The sequence below is a fragment of the Homo sapiens genome, chromosome 17, assembly GCF_000001405.40.
Source record: "Homo sapiens chromosome 17, GRCh38.p14 Primary Assembly".
NCBI classification, from domain to species: Eukaryota; Metazoa; Chordata; class Mammalia; order Primates; family Hominidae; genus Homo; species Homo sapiens.
In genome coordinates this window covers 21,178,517-21,196,013 of record NC_000017.11, presented here as the reverse complement: position 1 = coordinate 21,196,013, position 17,497 = coordinate 21,178,517, and the positions used below count along the sequence as shown (strand labels likewise).

Here is a 17,497-nt window from a genome sequence, read left to right as displayed (position 1 = left end):
ATTCTGAAATGCCATCTTAGTTACATGGCCCCTGGCCAGGGAGATGGGGATGAGGTGCTGGTGTGGACTGCAGGCAGGGGTTTCGTGTGCCTGAGGCTGGCAGCAAGAAATGTGCCTCCCTTCCCACTGTCAGTGCTGACTTCTCTGTTCCTGCCATTGTCCTTGCTAGATGATCAGTCATGGCAGAGCTGCTGACAAGTTGCTTATGGTCATCTGTGATATGCGACAGTACTTCTCAAGAAATAGCATTTGAAGGCTGAGTGCAGTAGCTCATGCCTGTAATCCCAGCACGTTGGGAGGCTGAGGCAGGAGGACCATTAAACACTTGAGTCCAAGAGTTGAAGACCAGTCTGGGCAACATAACAAGACCTGTCTCTACAAAAAAAGACAAAAATTAGCCAGATGTGGTGGTACGCAAATGTGGTCTCAGCTACTCAGGAGTCTGAGGAGGGAGGATCATTCAAGCCTGAGAGGTTGAGAATGCAGTGAGCTGTGATCTTACCACTGCACTTCAGCCTGGGCAACAGAGTGTGACCCTGTCTCCAAAAAATAATTTTTTTTTTTGAGATGGAGTCTCTCTGTTGCCCAGGCTGCAGTGCAATGGCGCGATCTCGGCTCACTGCAGCTTCCGCCTCCCAGGTTCAAGCAATTCTCCTGCCTCAGCCTCCCGAGTAGCTGAGATTACAGGTGCCCGTCACCACGTAGAGATGGGGTTTTGCCATGCTGGCTAGGCTGGTATTGAACTCCCGGCCTCAGCCACCTGCCTCGGCCTCCCAAAGTGCTGGGATTACAGGCGTGAGCTGCCGCGCCTGGCCAATTTTTTTTTCTTTTTTTTAAACAGCATTCGGTAACTGCCAAGAAAAAGCAAAGACCAAGTTACCAGGGCCCTCCTGTGCAAAATCCACTTAAATGAGTCCTACATGGACCACTTTAGGGAATAGATTGTGTCATTAATCTAGTAAATTAGTTTTAGCTACCCATCCCCACCCAATTTCAGAGAAGAGCGAAGAGCTGTTATGTAAAAGGACAACTGATCAAACTGGATCTCCCCGTTCCAGTCTGTCAGCTGCCTCCAGAGTTTTCACATCTGGTGCAGCAGCTGCTGGGCCCTGAGGGAAGGAAGGGAGACTTGCTGGGAGGTGGGCAGGGTGCCCAGGGCTGTACACTATTTTCTTCGATTCACTAATCGGCTGTGGCCCCTCTACACTGCATGGAGATGCTGCTGTTTGGAAAAGCTAATTGGTTTTATTTTTCCGTCTCTGGTTTTGGCATGATGTGAAACACCAAGGGGCTTAAAGAGCAAAGTGGAAAGTGTCTTTGAACTTCATCAGATACCTGAAGGCAGAACCAAATAAAAATCGTGCTTTTTAGACCTCCCCAGCAGAATTTAAGGATGAAAGAGAAAGGGGCAAAAACCCTCTAAAGACAGAAAAGAGAAAGTGGAATGGCAGCATCGCTAACCCTGCTGGCAAACGTCCATATTCAAACACTGGTTTGAAAATCCAAGAGCAATGAAGGTTGCTCAAAGGCCATCAGCTGAACCGGGCTGTGGCTGGGCTTCTTGCTTTGGAGCAATGCACGTGGGGCTCACCCACAGGAAGTCACTTCAGCTGCTACGTTGGGACAATTCTAAAGGCTAAGTCTCACATTATCCAAACCATTGCTGTCTCCAGGAAGGGACACTGAACTCCAGCGACCCAAGACAACTGTAGGAGCAACACGGACATGAAAGAGCACAGCTGCAGGCCCTTTTAGTCCTCAGCCTCTGAGGCCAAGAAGAGCGTCTGTCTGGTGTTGGTGTGACTTTAACAGGTCCCCTCTGGGACTTGCCAACCTCCTCCTCAAGAACAGTGGGCCTCAGACTCTGCCTTTGGCAAACAGCTTTATTTAGCTAGATTTTAATAATTCTTCAGTTTGTGTTAGTTTCTATTTATATGGCAAAATTATAAAGTTTATAAAGTTAAGTTTTAGAAAGTGATTTGAGGTTTTTAGAATGTTGGGTAAGTAAACAACCAATAATATTGACATCTGGCTGGTCTAGCACGTCAATATCCAGTTGCTAACCACTTTAATTGGGAGGAAATAAACTTTAGAAATGAACTTGACCTACTCAGTAAGCCTCAACCATGTATTTTTAATAAATTAGAAAGGTGGTAGCCAGGCATGGTGGCACACACCTGTACCAGCTACTCGGGAGACTGAGGCAGGAGAATCACTTGAAGGTGAATCACAGGAGGTGGCAGTTGCAGTGAGCTGAGATCACGCCATTGCACTCCAGCCTGGGTGACAAGAGCGAAACTCCCATCTCAAAAAAGAGGCCAGGTGCGGTGGCTCACGCCTGTAATCCCAGCACTTTGGGAGGCTGAGGCAGGCGGATCACGAGGTCAGGAGATCAAGGCTATCCTGGCTAACATGGTGAAACCGCATCTCTACTAAAAATACAAAAAATTAGCTGGGCGTGGTGGCGGGCGCCTGTAGGAGGCTGAGGCGAGAGAATGGCATGAACCCGGGAGGCGGAGCTTGTATTGAGCAGAGATCATGCCACTGCACTCTAGCTGGGCAAGAGAGCGAGACTCTGTCTCAAAAAAAATGAAAAAGAAAGAGAGGCTGGGCACGGTGGTTCACACCTGTAATCCCAGCATTTTGGGAGGCCAAGGCCGTCTCAAAAAAAAAAAACAAAAAAGAAAAAAAAACGTGAAAGCAGGTGTTTGTTCTGGCTGCCATCCAACCAATTACAGCTTACAGGTGGTATGTAGGTTAAGCACTCTTTAATGCTAGCCCAAGCTCCATGCACCCCAGCTGTGAGTCAGAACACAACGGCCCCAAAACCAAAAACCTCAGCAACATATGTGATGTTCCCATCTTCTGATGACGGAGTACACAGTTGGTAAACCTGCATTCCTTTGAGGGCAGCCTATCACATCAACCTCCAGTTGCTAACCATGTTATATAATGGAGAGGAAAGGACAGCACCTGGACACCAGGTGTCTCTGAGTGTGGCAGCCAACAGCATCCAAGGAGAAATGTCCTCTCATTTCCATCTAAAGGGAGAGCGCCCTTCATTGCTGCCATTTCCTGGAAACCTGCTGTGTGCTCGGCACTTTCATTCAACCTTAGACTCGGGCTGAGCTTTAGACAGGTGCTGCTGCTGTCTCAGTTCCAGCTCTTGCCTGGGTCTACTGTCTCCAGTGTGAACACTAAGGAGACCCTTCTCTTCCATGTCAGGAGGGAGGTTGACAATTTACCTGGAAAATGAAGAACGACCCATCACATCTGTGTCCACATTTTACCCAGAGGCTCCTGGAACGTCCAGGAAGTGTTAGGAGCTGGGACAAGTCACCAGATCTAATCACCCATTTGTCCTCCTACCAACCAGGAAACCTGAAACCCTCTGACACCCTAACCAAAGACTGGCTGTGGCCATTTTTATCATCTGTCTAGGGCAGCTGTTTAAAATACAAGCTCAGGCCAGGCACGGTGGCTCACACCTGTAATCCCAGCGCTTTGGGAGGCCGAGACAGGCAGATCACGAGGTCAAGAGATTGAGACCAGCCTGGCCAACACGGTGAAACCCCCATCTCTACTAAAAATACAAAAAATAGCTGGGTGTGGTGGCGCGTGCCTGTAGTCCCACCTACTCGGGAGGCCGAGGCAGGAGAATTGCTTGAACCCGGGAGGCAGAGGTTGCAGTGAGCCGAGATTGTGCCACTGCACTCCAGCCTGGGTGACACAGCGAGACTCCGTCTCAAAAAAAATAAATAAATAAAATTTAAAAAAATAACATGTTGCTGACCATGTTATATAATGGTCATAAAATATAGGCTCAACGACGCCAGAGTTGGGATGTGGTGCAAGATGTCGGTATGATGTGCTAGGAGATTTGTAATCCAATTTGGGGAAGTCTACAGTGGACCTACATTTCAATTTTCAGTTTCAATAATAGGAAAAGTTTCCTCCTAAACACTAGAAATGAACTTGACCTATTCAGTGAGCCTCAACAATGTATTTTTAATAAATCAGAAAGGCAGAAACAGGCATTCTTTCTGGCTATGATCCAACTAGTTAGAGCTAACAAATGGCTCACTTCCACCAGACCAGGGGCTGCTGTAGAGTCTGCCCAGCTGGCCAATTTAATGGTTTCACTTCTAGAGGATGCACGGGGCCACGCAGGGTCCTCCTCTCCCTTTTGGCTGCTCTCTCTTTAGTAAGTTCACCTTCTGCTTGGAGTGGTGCCTGGCATCCTACAGGGATGTGGTGAGAGTTAAGAGAGAAACAGGAATTCCTATGAGGTGCTAAAGCAGGCATCCCTTGGGATACACCAAATAAGCCATTACATACTGGCCCACGTTTTAAGTTGGATGAGATATCATAGGGACCTGGAAATGGGCGTGACTGCTGACTTCTTGAAACTACAACTTTCTCCCCTCAGTACTGGAGGTGGTCTTTCTGCCACAACAATGAGGTTTAAGTCAAATACAGAAACAACTGGGTCAGGTGACATAACATCTGATTCCAAGATTGAAACTATTTCTAGGAGCTGGCAGGGCGAGAATTCAAAGGACACAAGGTTCTAGTCCTGGAAGACTACAACTCTTACTGTTTGAGATGTTTATTTCTAGTTTTTAGTGTTAAACCCCAGCTCCATATTTATTCCTTAAGTGTTTCCCCTCACCCTGGGAAGAAGCTTGTTGTCGTTTTTGATTGTCCTCTGCCAGCAGATCTGCACGAGATGTGTTTCTTCAGTCTTTCCCACTTGTGAGACAAATCTCCATTAAAGTCTCAACAAATGCAACTGTCCCTTGTAGAGTAAGCAAGCCTAAGAGTGCTGCTTCTCTGCCCTGGCCCTGGCTGGTCAGAGTACTAGGAGTTCTTGGATTTCCGCTCTTTTCTGGCCCTGGAGGCCATGAGGCTGAAGAAGAGCCCAGGAGCCAGAGTTCGAAGATAAACAGCCAAGGAAGGCAGTAAGTCAGCCAGGATCACATCTTTCTTCTTCTTCCCCACAGCAGCAAGAACATCCTGGGCCACCTCCACAGGGCTTCGGCCCTGGGCTGTGGTGGTGTCCATAACTAAAATAAATAAAACAAAAGAAACACATGAACTTGGAAGCAGAGGTCCCTCTTGAGGAGTGGAGCTGATGTGAGTCGTCAGGTCAGCCTGCTGCCTTTCCCACCATGAAGCTCTTCCCAGGGCCAGGAAGCCAGTGGTGTGCCACCATCCCTGATGATTCCATGCTCCAAGGAAAGAGGGAACCATTTTGCAGCTGGATGTGGGTCAGTGGGGGAAGCGAGAGGTGGGTGGGATGTGGAAACAAGGTAGACTGAGGATCCCAGTTAGGGCTTGGAACCAAAGTGAGTCTGTCTGCCTGGTGCTCCACAGCAAAGGCACAGGGCCAGCCCGGGGTGGGGGCTTCAGAGTGACCCCCTCACACCGCACCTGAAAAGCAGCTTCCTGACCTGGGAAACGTGTGCCTATTAGAACAACCAAAGACTAAGGGATGTTGTGCCACCTCATTTATCTTGGGTAGCTTGGCTTCAGGATGGCCAGACAGAGGTGGGTGGGGACTATTGACCCCCATATGCACAAGCTCACTGAGTCAGGAGCAGACAGATGTCCCTGTTCTCGATGTCAAGTATTAATTGGATGAGAAACAGGAAGAAGTCCTTAGTTTGTTTTAGGTGTTAGAAGGAACAGCTGGGAGAGATTAGGAGGCAGTGTTAGATTAACGGCAACTGATGTTCCTTCTACCCTAGTAATTTGACAATTTTGCCCGCAAAGTAGGACCAGCTGGCAGGCACACAGGAGCGGCCACTAGCACAGACCATGTGAAACCACTTTTTTTTTTTTTTTAAAGACAGGGTTTCGCTCTGTTGCCCAGGCTGGAGTGCAGTGGCACAATCATGGCTTACTGCAGCCTCGACCTCCTGGGCTCAAGCAATCCTCCTGCCTCAGCCTCCTGAGTAGCTAGACTACAGGTGGTGCCACCATGGTTGGCTAATTTTCGTATTTTTTGTGGAGGTTAGGTCTTGCACTATTGCCCAAACTGGTCTCAAACTCCTAGGCTGAAGTGATCCTCCTGACTTGACCTCCCAAAGTGCTGAGATTTCAGGTGTTGACCACAGTGCCTAGCCATATGAAACCACTCTTAAGTTGTCCAGATTGCCTGAGCTCCCTCACCAATGTCTGTTCTGTGTTTTTGTTAATGCAGAAAAGTAGGAAGTTTTGGATTACAGCTTATTTTTAAATGCCGCAGAGATAATTTTTTAAGTGGTATCTTCTAGGTATAAACAGGTGTAAAGCTGTATGAAGCCCCATGCCTCTGTATAGAGTCTACTGTGGGGAAAACAAGACTTGCTGTGTGAGAGAGCAGCTGCTGCCAGGACATGGGCAGTCTTGGTTCAGGCCTGGCTGGGCCGGGCGCAGGACCATGAGGCCCCTGGCAGACATCACAGCACAAACCCCAAGAGCTCACTTCAGGGAGGAGGACATGGCAGGACAGCACTGGAGGGGTGAGCAGGCCCTGTTCCAAGCATGGGGAGGCAGCACCAGCTCCAAGGGCTCCAGTGATCATGGGCACACTGGTCTCTGCTTGGCCTGAGCCTGCATGCTGGGGCCAGCTGCTCTGCCCGCGAGTGGTGACTGCAGGTCAGCTCTGCACTGTCTCCAAATGAGACAAGATGAAGGTGCTGAGACTGCTGCACTCGGCCTCATCCTGAAGACTGGCCCTGAATCAGTCATTTCTCAAGCCTATGGGACAGAGACAGACCATCAAACACCCTACACTTGCCATGAGGTCAATTCACTCAATCCCGATGCCGATAATACTCCTTGGACTCGGGATCTGCGAATGGGTTAGTTGGAAGTCTGTTGGCATTTCAGCTTGGCAACTTCCTTTTAGCCCTTGAGTCCTGCCCACAGAGGTCCTGTTCTGAATGCTGCAATGGTGACGTTCACACTAAGGGTAGGCCATGGTGGGGTAAAAGAAGATTATTCAATAGTCCATATCTAGAACCAACACCTCTGTCAAGTTTTTTTCACTTTAAAAGTTCTCTTCCAAATGAAAATGACCAAAGAATCACTGAAGTAAGAGCAGCATGTCTCACTGTGGCTGACCGACAGATTTTCATAGGAGAAAAGAGAAACCGGGCCTCACCTCCATACCTAGATCCATCCGCGGTGATGGCATTTACAGAGAGGTTGGTGTGGATGTAGCCGGGGCTGATGACGGTCACCTCAATTTCATACTGTTCCATCTCGGCACGCAGACAGTCAAAGAAAGCCTGGGTTGCGTGCTTGGAGGCTGCATCTACACATGTGGACGGAGAGGCAGGTGACTGAGTGCGCTGGGGTGGGCATGGCCTGGTGCCCAACTATTCACTACCATTCACGCTCTCTGTTTTGAAAACCTGGTTTTATTTGTGATCGTCTTGCTATGTTGCTTAGGCTGGACTCCAGCTCCTGAGCTCAAGTGATCCTCCTGCCTCAGCTGGGACTGCAAGCGTGGGCCACTGTGCCCAGCTTTAAAACCTGGTTTTATTATTTAAGATTACAGTATTATAACAATGTTCATTTCCTGACTTTGAGAAGTGTACTGTGCCCTTGTTCTTAGGAAACAAACTGAAATAGGAATAAATGAGCATCATGTCTCCAGTTTCCTTTCAAATGGTTCAGGAAAAAAATTATAAATTATATACACATATAGTTTTATATATATTATAAACGGTATATATGCATATACACAGAGAGAGAGAATAAGATAAAGGAAATAAGGTAAAAGGTTAACAGGGAATCTGCATGAAGGGTGCATGGGAGTAATTTGTGCTGTTCCTGCAACTTTAAGTCTGAAGTTATTCCAAGTTAAAAGTTAAGCTGGGCGCGGTGGCTCACACCTGTAATCCCAGCACTTTGGGAGGCCAAGGTGAGCGGATCACGAGGTCAGGAGATCGAGACCATCCTAGCTAACACGATGAAACCCCGTCTCTACTAAATATACAAAAAAAATTAGCCAGGCTTGGTGGCGGGTGCCTGTAGTCCCAGCTACACGGGAGGCTGAGGCAGGAGAATGGTGTGAACCCAGGAGGTGGAGCTTGCAGTGAGCGGAGATCGCGCCACTGCACTCCAGCCTGGGCGACAGAGCGAGACTCCATCTCAAAAATAAATAAATAAATAAATAAATAAATAAATAAAAGTTAAAAACAAAAAAAACTGAATGACTACTGGGTAAAACATTCAAATAGTACATTAAAGGACAGAAAGTACAAAAAAAGAAAGTCCTCCTGTCTTCCAAATTCCATTCCTAGAGATAATCAGTGCTAACAGTTTCCCAGAATTTTTGTTTAATTCTATTTTGGTTTTCTTTTTTTTCCTTTTTTTTTTTTTTTTTGAGACAGAGTCTCGCTCTGCCACCCAGGCGGGAGTGCTGGAGTGCAGTGGCACGATCTTGGCTCACTGCAAACTCCGCCTCCCGGGTTCACACCGTTCTTCTCCCTCAGCCTCCCGAGTAGCTGGGACTACAGGCACCCGCCACCACGCCCGGCTACTTTTTTGTATTTTTTAGTAGAGACGGGGTTTCACTATGTTAGCCAGGATGGTCTGGATCTACTGACCTCGTGATGCACCGACCTCAGCCTCCCAGAGTGCTGGGATTACAGGCGTGAGCCACCGCACCCGGCCTTCTGTTTTGTTTTTTTAGAGAAGGCATCTTCTCTGTTACCCAGGCTGGAGTAGAGCTATGATCATAGGATCATAGCTCCTTGCAGCCTCGACTTCCTGGCCTCAAGCAATCCTCCCACTTCACCCTCCCAAAGTGCTGGTGGGATTACAGGAGTAAGCAGCCATGCCCAGTGATTTTTTAAAAATATATTCTACGTATATTCATGTGATTTTACACATTTTATATATTTTATATATATATATATATATCTTTTAATACAGAAATGAACTCTTACCTATTCTACTGTTCCTGCAAGTAGCTTTCTTCACCTGGTGGCAGGTTGGACAGCTCCCATGCTGGCCCTGCAGACCTGCCATGTAGCTGTGGCTGCCTAGTCCTCCCCAGTGAGTTACCAAGTGACAGAATTGGCCCCATCAGTGGGCCTTCATGGGTGTAAAAAATCCAAACCTGCCTTCTTATGTCTCATTTTGACAAATGTCCAGGCAGTGGCTTTTCATCTAGAAGAGCTATAGAGCTTACTCCACCTGCAAGAAACAGAGCTGTGCCTGCTCTCGAGCAAGGGCTTCACAACCCGGTAAAAGGTGCTCTGAATGGGAACACAGTGACCCTATAATGACATTCCTGGGAAACACACCAGCGTCTCCACAGTAAATCAGTTTCCTCCAATTCAGAATTGTAAATGTTTTAGCCTTAGGAAAGAAGGGGCATCCGTCAGCTAAGGAAACAGGAAGACAGAAAGAAAGGAAGTGTCGCAGCAAGTCACATGAGGCAGTTCAGCAGTGTCTGAGCTTGCTGCAGTGCCTTGCTGGGCCTGCTCCATTGGTTTGGGGCACAGTTGCTGGGGGCTGGATGAGTTGGCTGTGGGTGGATGGAGAGGACTGCTCCTATCAGCCATGATTCCAAGAGTACAGCCCAGGCTTGGGGACAGGGAAGAGTGGGTTATCATGTAAGTCCCCAAAACAGAAGGCTACACTCTGACAGCTGGGTCTCCCCAGAGCTCTCAGGCTGTGAGTTCTCAGCCAGGCTGTGCTGACCTCGCCGCTGGCCACATCACTTACCCTGCCAGTGTGAGGCCCAGTACTAAGGACACTGTGGACCACGTGACTTGGTCTTTACTTTAGCAGTGTGACAGAGAAAATGCCGTTCTCCTCATTTTATAGGTGAGAAGGCCACTACTTATCTGAGTTAACCAACTTGCCCAAGAGGCACTCCATATTCAGCCTGGTCATTATAAAACTGAATACGGAGACCAACCATTGTATGCCTTACTGCAGTCAGCAGGCCAGACAACAAAAATCAGTGGTATTATTATAAATCAAAGTAAAACTTGAAAATAATTTAGTATAAAGAACTCCAGCTGGGCGCGGTGGCTCATGCCTGTAATCTCAACGCTTTGGGAGGCTGAGGTGGGCGGATCACTTGAGGTCAGGAGTTTGAGACCAGCCTGGCCAACATGGTGAAACCCTGTGTCTACTAAAAATACAAAAGTTAGCCAGGTGTGCTGGTACACGCCTATAATCTCAGCTACTCAGGAGGCTGAGGCAGAAGAATCGCTTGAACCCGGGAGGCGGAGGTTGTAGTGAGCCGAGATCGCACTACTGCACTCTAGCCTGGGCGAGAAGAGTGAAACTCTGTTTCCAAAAAAAAAAAACCTCTTTACCCTGATTTACCTATTATTAACATTTTAACTCATTTGCTTTATCATTGATGATTCTATATATAATTGTTTTTTCCTGAACCATTTGAGAAGCCTTAGATGGCTGTCCTATCCAAAGCTGAAAGAGAATATTAACAAACAGGGAAATCATGCATGTACAAGCATGTATGATGATTGTAAATCTCACTAATATGTAAGGAAACAGGATCAGAATAGTTAAGTAATGTGTCCAAGAAAATACAACCAGAACCAAAAGGTAGAGCTGGGATCCAGATCTTGGAAGAAAGAATAAACTGTGTTACACTCTCAGTTCACAGCTGGCCCTATAGTGTCATGGAACTGGATGTTTGGGGCTGCCCTTGCAAAGTGCTGCAGCAGCTCAGATTTCCCTGCCTTTGCTGACCAGGCTGTGGCTGGGTCTAGCCCTTGGGTGGCTGAGAGGAGATGAGGCTGGTATAGGCAGTATTTCCTTTCGGGAGATGATGCAAAGAAAGGACAGTTTGTGAAATTACCTTAAAACCCTTTTTATTGAAACCTTCCCATTTGAGTGCCCAGAGATATAAATATTTGAGAATGTTCTACACAGCACACTGCTGCTAATGGTCAAAGACTGAGGGGGAAAAAAAATCCTCAAGTGTCCAGGAAAATGGCTAAATCAATTATGTCACACTCATTCAATGGATTACTGTATTGAAAGGATGAGGTAAATCCATACATGCTGATGTAGAAAGATACATTAAGTGAGATTAACAAGCCACAAAGCAATATGAATAATGCCATTCCATTTTTGCATGTTTGAATTATACGTAGAAAAAACTGTGGAAGCATATGCCCCAAAGTGATGGCATGGTTATATCTGTGGGACAAGCTAAAAATCTTAACAGTAGGAGTGGCTAGCACATGCCTAGTGCTTAGTGTCTGGGGCAGCTCCAAGCACAGCGCTCACAGCAGTCCTCCGGGCTAAGACTGAGGCTGTCTCCATTTACACTTGAGGGCAGGGCACAGAGAAGTGGGGATACTTGCCCAAGGTCACACAGGGGACAGAAAGTAGAGCTGGGATTTGATCCCAGGCATGTGGCTCTGGAGAACACATTCTCAAGTGCCTTTGCATTCTGGATAGTTTATTTCTACAATGTCTAAATTCTAGATAGTAAATGTGTTATTTTTATAATCAGGAAAAAACAATAAAGCCAAGCATTTTGTGGGAGAGAGAAGTACTCACATGCTGATCGAAAAGGAATGCTCATCTTGCCCTGGATGCTGCTGATGGCGACAATGTGGCCTTGCCTCCTCTTGATCATGGAGGGCAGGAGTGCTGAGGACAGATGCAGAGGCTTAGGCAAGCGCCCTACTTCCAGTCATTGCACCCGATGCTGATGGAAGGCGACCTTGCTTTTGATATTTAGTCAGAATGAGGGAGAATGGTGAAAACCCCTTAGGGTAGAGGACTATGTTGGAACTTCCAGCCTCCTATGCCCAGCAGAGTGCCAGCAGGCCAGCAGGAGAGAGGAGAGAGGCAAGGAAACAGGGACAGAGGTCACTGCAAATGGTTAGCTCAGTTCCCTTTTCCTGCTGGAGCCTCTCCCCTGGACTGAAATCCATGGTGGGACATAAAAATATCCCCACCTTGTAGGGGTTTGCAGGCACCATGAAAAAGACATGTAGGTAATGCTGCACAAATGTGGCTGTCACTAAAGAGAACATCTTGATTGGAAGCTATAAAGCAAATACCCAAACTGTAACAATAACACCTAACACCCACTCCAGGGCAACAGAGAGGATGGAGATGGGGAACGTTTAGCTGAAAAGGATCCAAGTGAAGTAAAAAGAATGCCAACATATCACTTATCACTGCTCTTTTCTCAAGACTGTTACCTTTCGTTAGAGCAACTGGGCCAAAGTAGTTTGTCTCCATGACCCTCTTGTCCACATCCACTGTGGTGTCCATGATGGTACCACGGTAGCTGATCCCAGCATTGTTGACAAGTATGTCGACATAGCCAAAGCACTGCAGGATCTCAGCTGCTGCTGCAACTATGGCCCCAGAGTCTGTGAGGTCGAAGGTCACCAAGTAAGGCTTGTGTGTCTGCACCTGGTCAAATACAACAGATACAAATTCACTTTCTGAGTGGCAGGCCATCTGAGCTATGTGTCCCACGGATCACTTAGCCTCAAAACAATAATGTAACTTTATATTTTAAGGAACTAGAAAAAGAATAGCAAACTAAACCCAAAACCAGCAGAGGAAGGAAACATTATAATAAAGATTAGAACAGAGATAAACAAACAGAATACAGAAAAACAATAAAAATCAATGAAGCCAAAAGTTGGTTCTTTGAAAAGATCAACAAAATTGAGAAAGCATTAACTAGAATGACAAGGAAAAAACAGAAGACACAAATAACTAAAATCAGAAATGAAAGTGGGACCACTGACTTTACAGAAATGATGAGATGATAAAAAAAATTATAAAGATTATAAAAATGATTATAAAAGAATACTATGAACAATTATTTGCCAACAAGTTAGAAAAACTAGAATAAATGGATACATTCCTTGAAAAACACAAATTACCTAAACTGACTCAAGAAGAAATAAAAAATCTCAGGAGACTTCTAACAGATAGAGATTGGATCAGTAATCAAAAACCTTCCAACAAAGAAAAGTCCTGGACCGGATGGCTTCACTGGTGAATTCTGCCAAACATTTAAAGGAGAATTAACACCAGTCCTTCCTGTACTCTTCTAGAAAACTGAAGAGGAGAAAACATTTCCTAATTCAGTCTGAGGCCAACATTACTTTGATACTAAAGCCAGATTAAAGATATCACAAGAAAATTATAGAGCAATATCTCTTATGAATATAGATGCAAAAATCTTCAACAAAATACCAGCGAATTGAATTTAACAGCGTATTAAAAGGATTATTCACCATGACCAAGTGGGATTTATCCTAGGAATGCAAGCAAAGTTGGTTCAACATAGGAAAATCAATCATGGCCAGGTACAGTGGCTCATGGCTGTAATCCCCAGCACTTTGGGAGGCTGAGGAGGGAGGCTTGCTTGAGCCCAGGAGTTCGAGGCCAGCCTGGGCAACATGGCGAGACCCTGTCTCTTTAAATTAAAAAAAAGAAAATTGGCCGGGGGCAGTGGCTCATGCCTATAATCCTAGCACTTTGGGAGGCCGAGGTGGGTGGATCACCTGAGGTCGGGAGTTCAAGACTAGCCTGACTAACATGGAGAAACCCCCGTCTCTACTAAAAATACAAAACTAGCTGGGCATGGAGGCGTATGCCTGTAATCCCAGCTACTCGGGAGGCTGAGGCAGCAGAATCCCTTGAACCTGGGAGGCGGAGGTTGTGGTGAGCCGAGATCGCACCATTGCACTCCAGCCTGGGCAACAAGAGCAAAAACTCCTTCTCAAAAAAAGAAAGAAAAAAAAGAAAATTGAACATTATAATATATCACATTAATAGAACGAGGGAAAAACCCCACTTGATCATCTCAATTGATGCAGAAAAGAGATCTCACAAAATCTAACACCCTTTCATGGTAAACATACTCAATAAACTAGGACTAGACCAGAAATTCCTCAACACAGCAAAGGGTGTTTATGAAAAACCCACAGATAACATACTCAGTGGAAAAAGATGGAAAGCCTTCCTCTAAGATCAGGAACAAGACAAGGACGCCTGCTTTCACAACGGCTACTCAACATTGTACTGGAAGTGCTAACCAGAACAATTAGACAAGAAAAAAGTGACCCAATTTGGAAAGGAAAAAGTAAAACTACCTCTGTTTGCAGATGATTCTATATATAGGAAATTCCAATAAATCCACAAAAAGCTAATAAGAGTTAATTAACAAATTAAGCAAAGTGGCAAGGTACAAGAGCAACATCCAAAAATCAGCTGTGTTTCTATATACAAACAATGAATAATCTGAAAAGGGAATCAGGAAAGCAATTCTATTTACAGTAGCAGTTAAAAAAATTAAATATGCTATGGTTTGAATGTGTCTCCCAAAACCTATGTGTTAGAAACTTAATCCCCAATGCAACAGTGTTGAAAGGTGGGAACTTCATGAATGGATTAATGCTGTTATTGTGGGAGCTTCCTTATCAAAGGATAAAATCAGCCCTTTTCCCTCTCTCTCGCCCATGTGATGCCTTCCTACATGTTAAGATGTGGCAAGAAGGCCCCTGCCAGACACCAGACCCTTGCCAGATGCTAGCCCCTCTAACTTGGATTTCTCAGCCTCCAGACTTTGAAAACTAGATTTCTTTAAAAATTACTCAGTCCGGCGAGGCGCAGTGGCTCACTCCTGTAATCCTGGCATTTTGGGAGGGTAAAGTGGGCAACTCAGTTGAGGCCTGGAGTTCGAGATCAGCCTGGGTAACATAGCAGGACCCTGTCCCTACAAAAAATGAAAAAATTAACCCAATACAGTGGCATGTGCCTGTAGTCCCAGCTACTCAGGAGGCTGAGGCAGAGGATTGCTTGAGCCTGAGATTTTCAGGCTGCAGTGAGCCATGATTGCACTACTGAACTCTAGCCTAGATGACCGAGCAAGACTATGTCTCTAAAAATAATAATAAAATAAAAATAAAAATCACCCAGTCTCTGCTATTGTTACAGCAGCATAAAACAGACTAAGACAAACACTTGGCAATAAATCTAAGGAGATAAAAGACTGTAAAACACTGCTGACAGAAATTAAAGAAGATGTAAGTTCATGGAAAGACATCCTGCATTCATGGACTGGAAGACCGTGTTGTTGATGTGAGAGTACTCCCCAAAGGGACCAATAGATTCGATGTTATTCCTATCAAAATCCCACTGGCAGTTTTTGCACAAATATGGGATTACAATGGGCCTTGAATAGCCAAAACACTCCTGAAAAAGGACAGATGGAGGACTCACACTTCCTCACTTCAAAACTTGTACAAAGCTACAGCAATTAAAACAGTATGGGTCCTTCCCCTCCTCCTCCCCCTTGCCTCCCCCTTCCTACCCTCATGCTCCACCCCGTCCCTCTAAGGGGGAGAAAACCCAGTATGGTACTGACATAAGACAGACATATAGACCAACTGAATGGCACAAGGAACCTAGACATAGACACTTCAAATATGTAATCAATTGATTTTTGTAAGGATGCCCATTCAATGAGGAAAGACAGTCTTCAACAAATGGTGCTGGGAAAAGTAGATAATCACGTGCAAAATAATGAAATTGGACTCTTACCTAATACCATGTATAAAAATTAACTCAAATGGATCAATCACCTAAATGTAAGATTTAAAATTATAAAACTTGGCCAGGCGTGGTGGCTAACACCTGTAATCCCAACATTGTGGGAGGCTGAGGCAGGTGGATCATGAGGTCAAGAGACTGAGACCATTCTGGCCAACACGGTGAAACCCAATCTCTACTAAAAATACAAAAATTAGCTAGGTGTGGTGGTGCGTGCCTGTAGTCCCAGATATTTGGGAGGCTGAGGCAGGAGAATCACTTGAACCTGGGAGGCGGAGCTTGCAGGGAGCCAAGATCGTGTCACTGCATTCCAGCCTAGGTGACAGAGCGAGACTCCCTCTCAAAAAAAAAAAAAAAAAAAGAAAGTGGGCTGGGCATGGTGGCTCATGCCTGTAACCCCAGCACTTTGGGAGGCCCCAGGCGGGTGGATCGCCTGAGGTCGGGAGTTAGAGACCAGCCTGACCAATATGGAGAAGCCCCGTCTCTACTAAAAATACAAAATTAGCCGGGCGTGGTGGCGCATGCCAGTCATCCCAGCTACTTGGGAGGCTGAGGCAGGAGAATCGCTTGAACCCAGGAGGCAGAGGTTGTGGTGAGCTGAGATCGCACCGTTGCACTCCAGCCTCGGCAACAAGAGTGAAACTCCATCTCAAAAAGAAAAAAAAAAAAAAAGAAAGTGAAAAGATACTGAGTGAGAGAAAATATTTGCAAATCACATATCTTATAAGGGATTAATATCCCGAATACATAAAGAACTCCTAAACTCAACAACAACAAACAACAACCTGATTAAAAAAACAAGCAAAGGACTTGAATAGACATTTCTCTTTTTTTTGAGACAGAGTCTCGCTCTGTCACCCAGGGTGGAGTGCAGTGGTGCGATCTTGGTTCACTGTAACCTCCACCTCCTGGGTTCAAGTGATTCTGCTGCCTCAGCCTTCTGAGTAGTTGGGACTACGGGCATGCACCACCACACCCAGCTAAGTTTTGTACTTTTTGGTAGAGATGGGTTTCGTCATGTTGGCCAGGCTGGTCTCAAACTCCTGGCCTCAAGTGATCATCCACTCACCTCGGCCTCCCAAAGTGCTGGAATTACAGGCATGAGCCACAGTGCCTGGCCTTGAATAGACATTTCTCCAAAGATTAATAAATGGTCAATAAGCACATGAAAAGATGCTCAACATCATTTTTAATTAGGGAAATACAAATCAAAACCACAATAAGGAGGCTCAGGTAGGAGGATCACTTGAGGCCACAAGTCCAAGACCAATCTGGGCAACATAGTGAGACCGTGTCTCTACATAAAAGTAGAAAAAAAAAAATTTAGCTGGGTGTGGTGGCACATGCCTATAGTCCTAGCTACTCAAGAGGCTGACGTGGGAGGATCACTTGAGCCCAGGAGTTCAAGGCTGCAGTGAGCTATGACTGTGCCACTGCACTCTAGCCTGGGTGACAGAGCAAGAGCCTAAGAAAATAAAACAAGGGCTGTACTGGTGGCTCACGCCTGTAATCCCAGCACTTTGGGAGGCTGAGGCGGGCAGATCATCTGAGATCAGGAGTCCAGCCTGGTCAATATGGTGAAACCACGTCTCTACAAAAAATACAAAAATCAGCTGAGTGTGGTGGTGTGCACCTGTAATCCCAGCTACTCAGGAGGCTGAGGCGGAAGAATCGCTTGAACCCAGGGGGCAGAGATTGCAGTGAACCGAGATTGGGCCATTGCACTCCAGCCTGGGTGACAGAGCGAGACTCCGTGTCCCAAAAAAAAAAAAAAAAACACCTTTTAAAGTTATCACCATCCCCCACTCCCACCCAGTAAGTAGAGCTTAGCCAGGTAAAAGGAAAGGGAGAAAAGAGAACTTTCTCAACTCACAGTGCTAGCCAGTAGGGGCATCAGGATGTAAACCACTGGACAGTT

The 17,497-nt window shown here is 46.1% G+C and overlaps 1 protein-coding gene across 12 annotated transcripts in view; it reads right to left on the bottom strand.

Moving 5' to 3' along the window:
- Positions 1-4,593: 4,593 nt before the first annotated feature.
- Positions 4,594-17,497, bottom strand: part of DHRS7B (dehydrogenase/reductase 7B) — a 64,457-nt gene continuing 51,553 nt past the window's right edge. For 6 of the 12 annotated variants that reach the window (XM_047435722.1, NM_015510.5, NM_001393658.1 and 3 more), the window contains 4 exons: positions 12,204-12,420; positions 11,551-11,643; positions 7,151-7,303; positions 4,594-5,066 (listed from right to left, as the gene is read on the bottom strand). In XM_047435722.1, coding sequence (XP_047291678.1) covers positions 4,861-5,066; positions 7,151-7,303; positions 11,551-11,643; positions 12,204-12,420 — 669 coding nt within the window. In that variant the 3' untranslated portion in view covers positions 4,594-4,860. The remainder of the gene's footprint in view (positions 5,067-7,150; positions 7,304-11,550; positions 11,644-12,203; positions 12,421-17,497) is intronic. The other 6 variants (XM_011523786.3, XM_024450685.2, XM_047435725.1 and 3 more) reach the window with 4 other exon arrangements.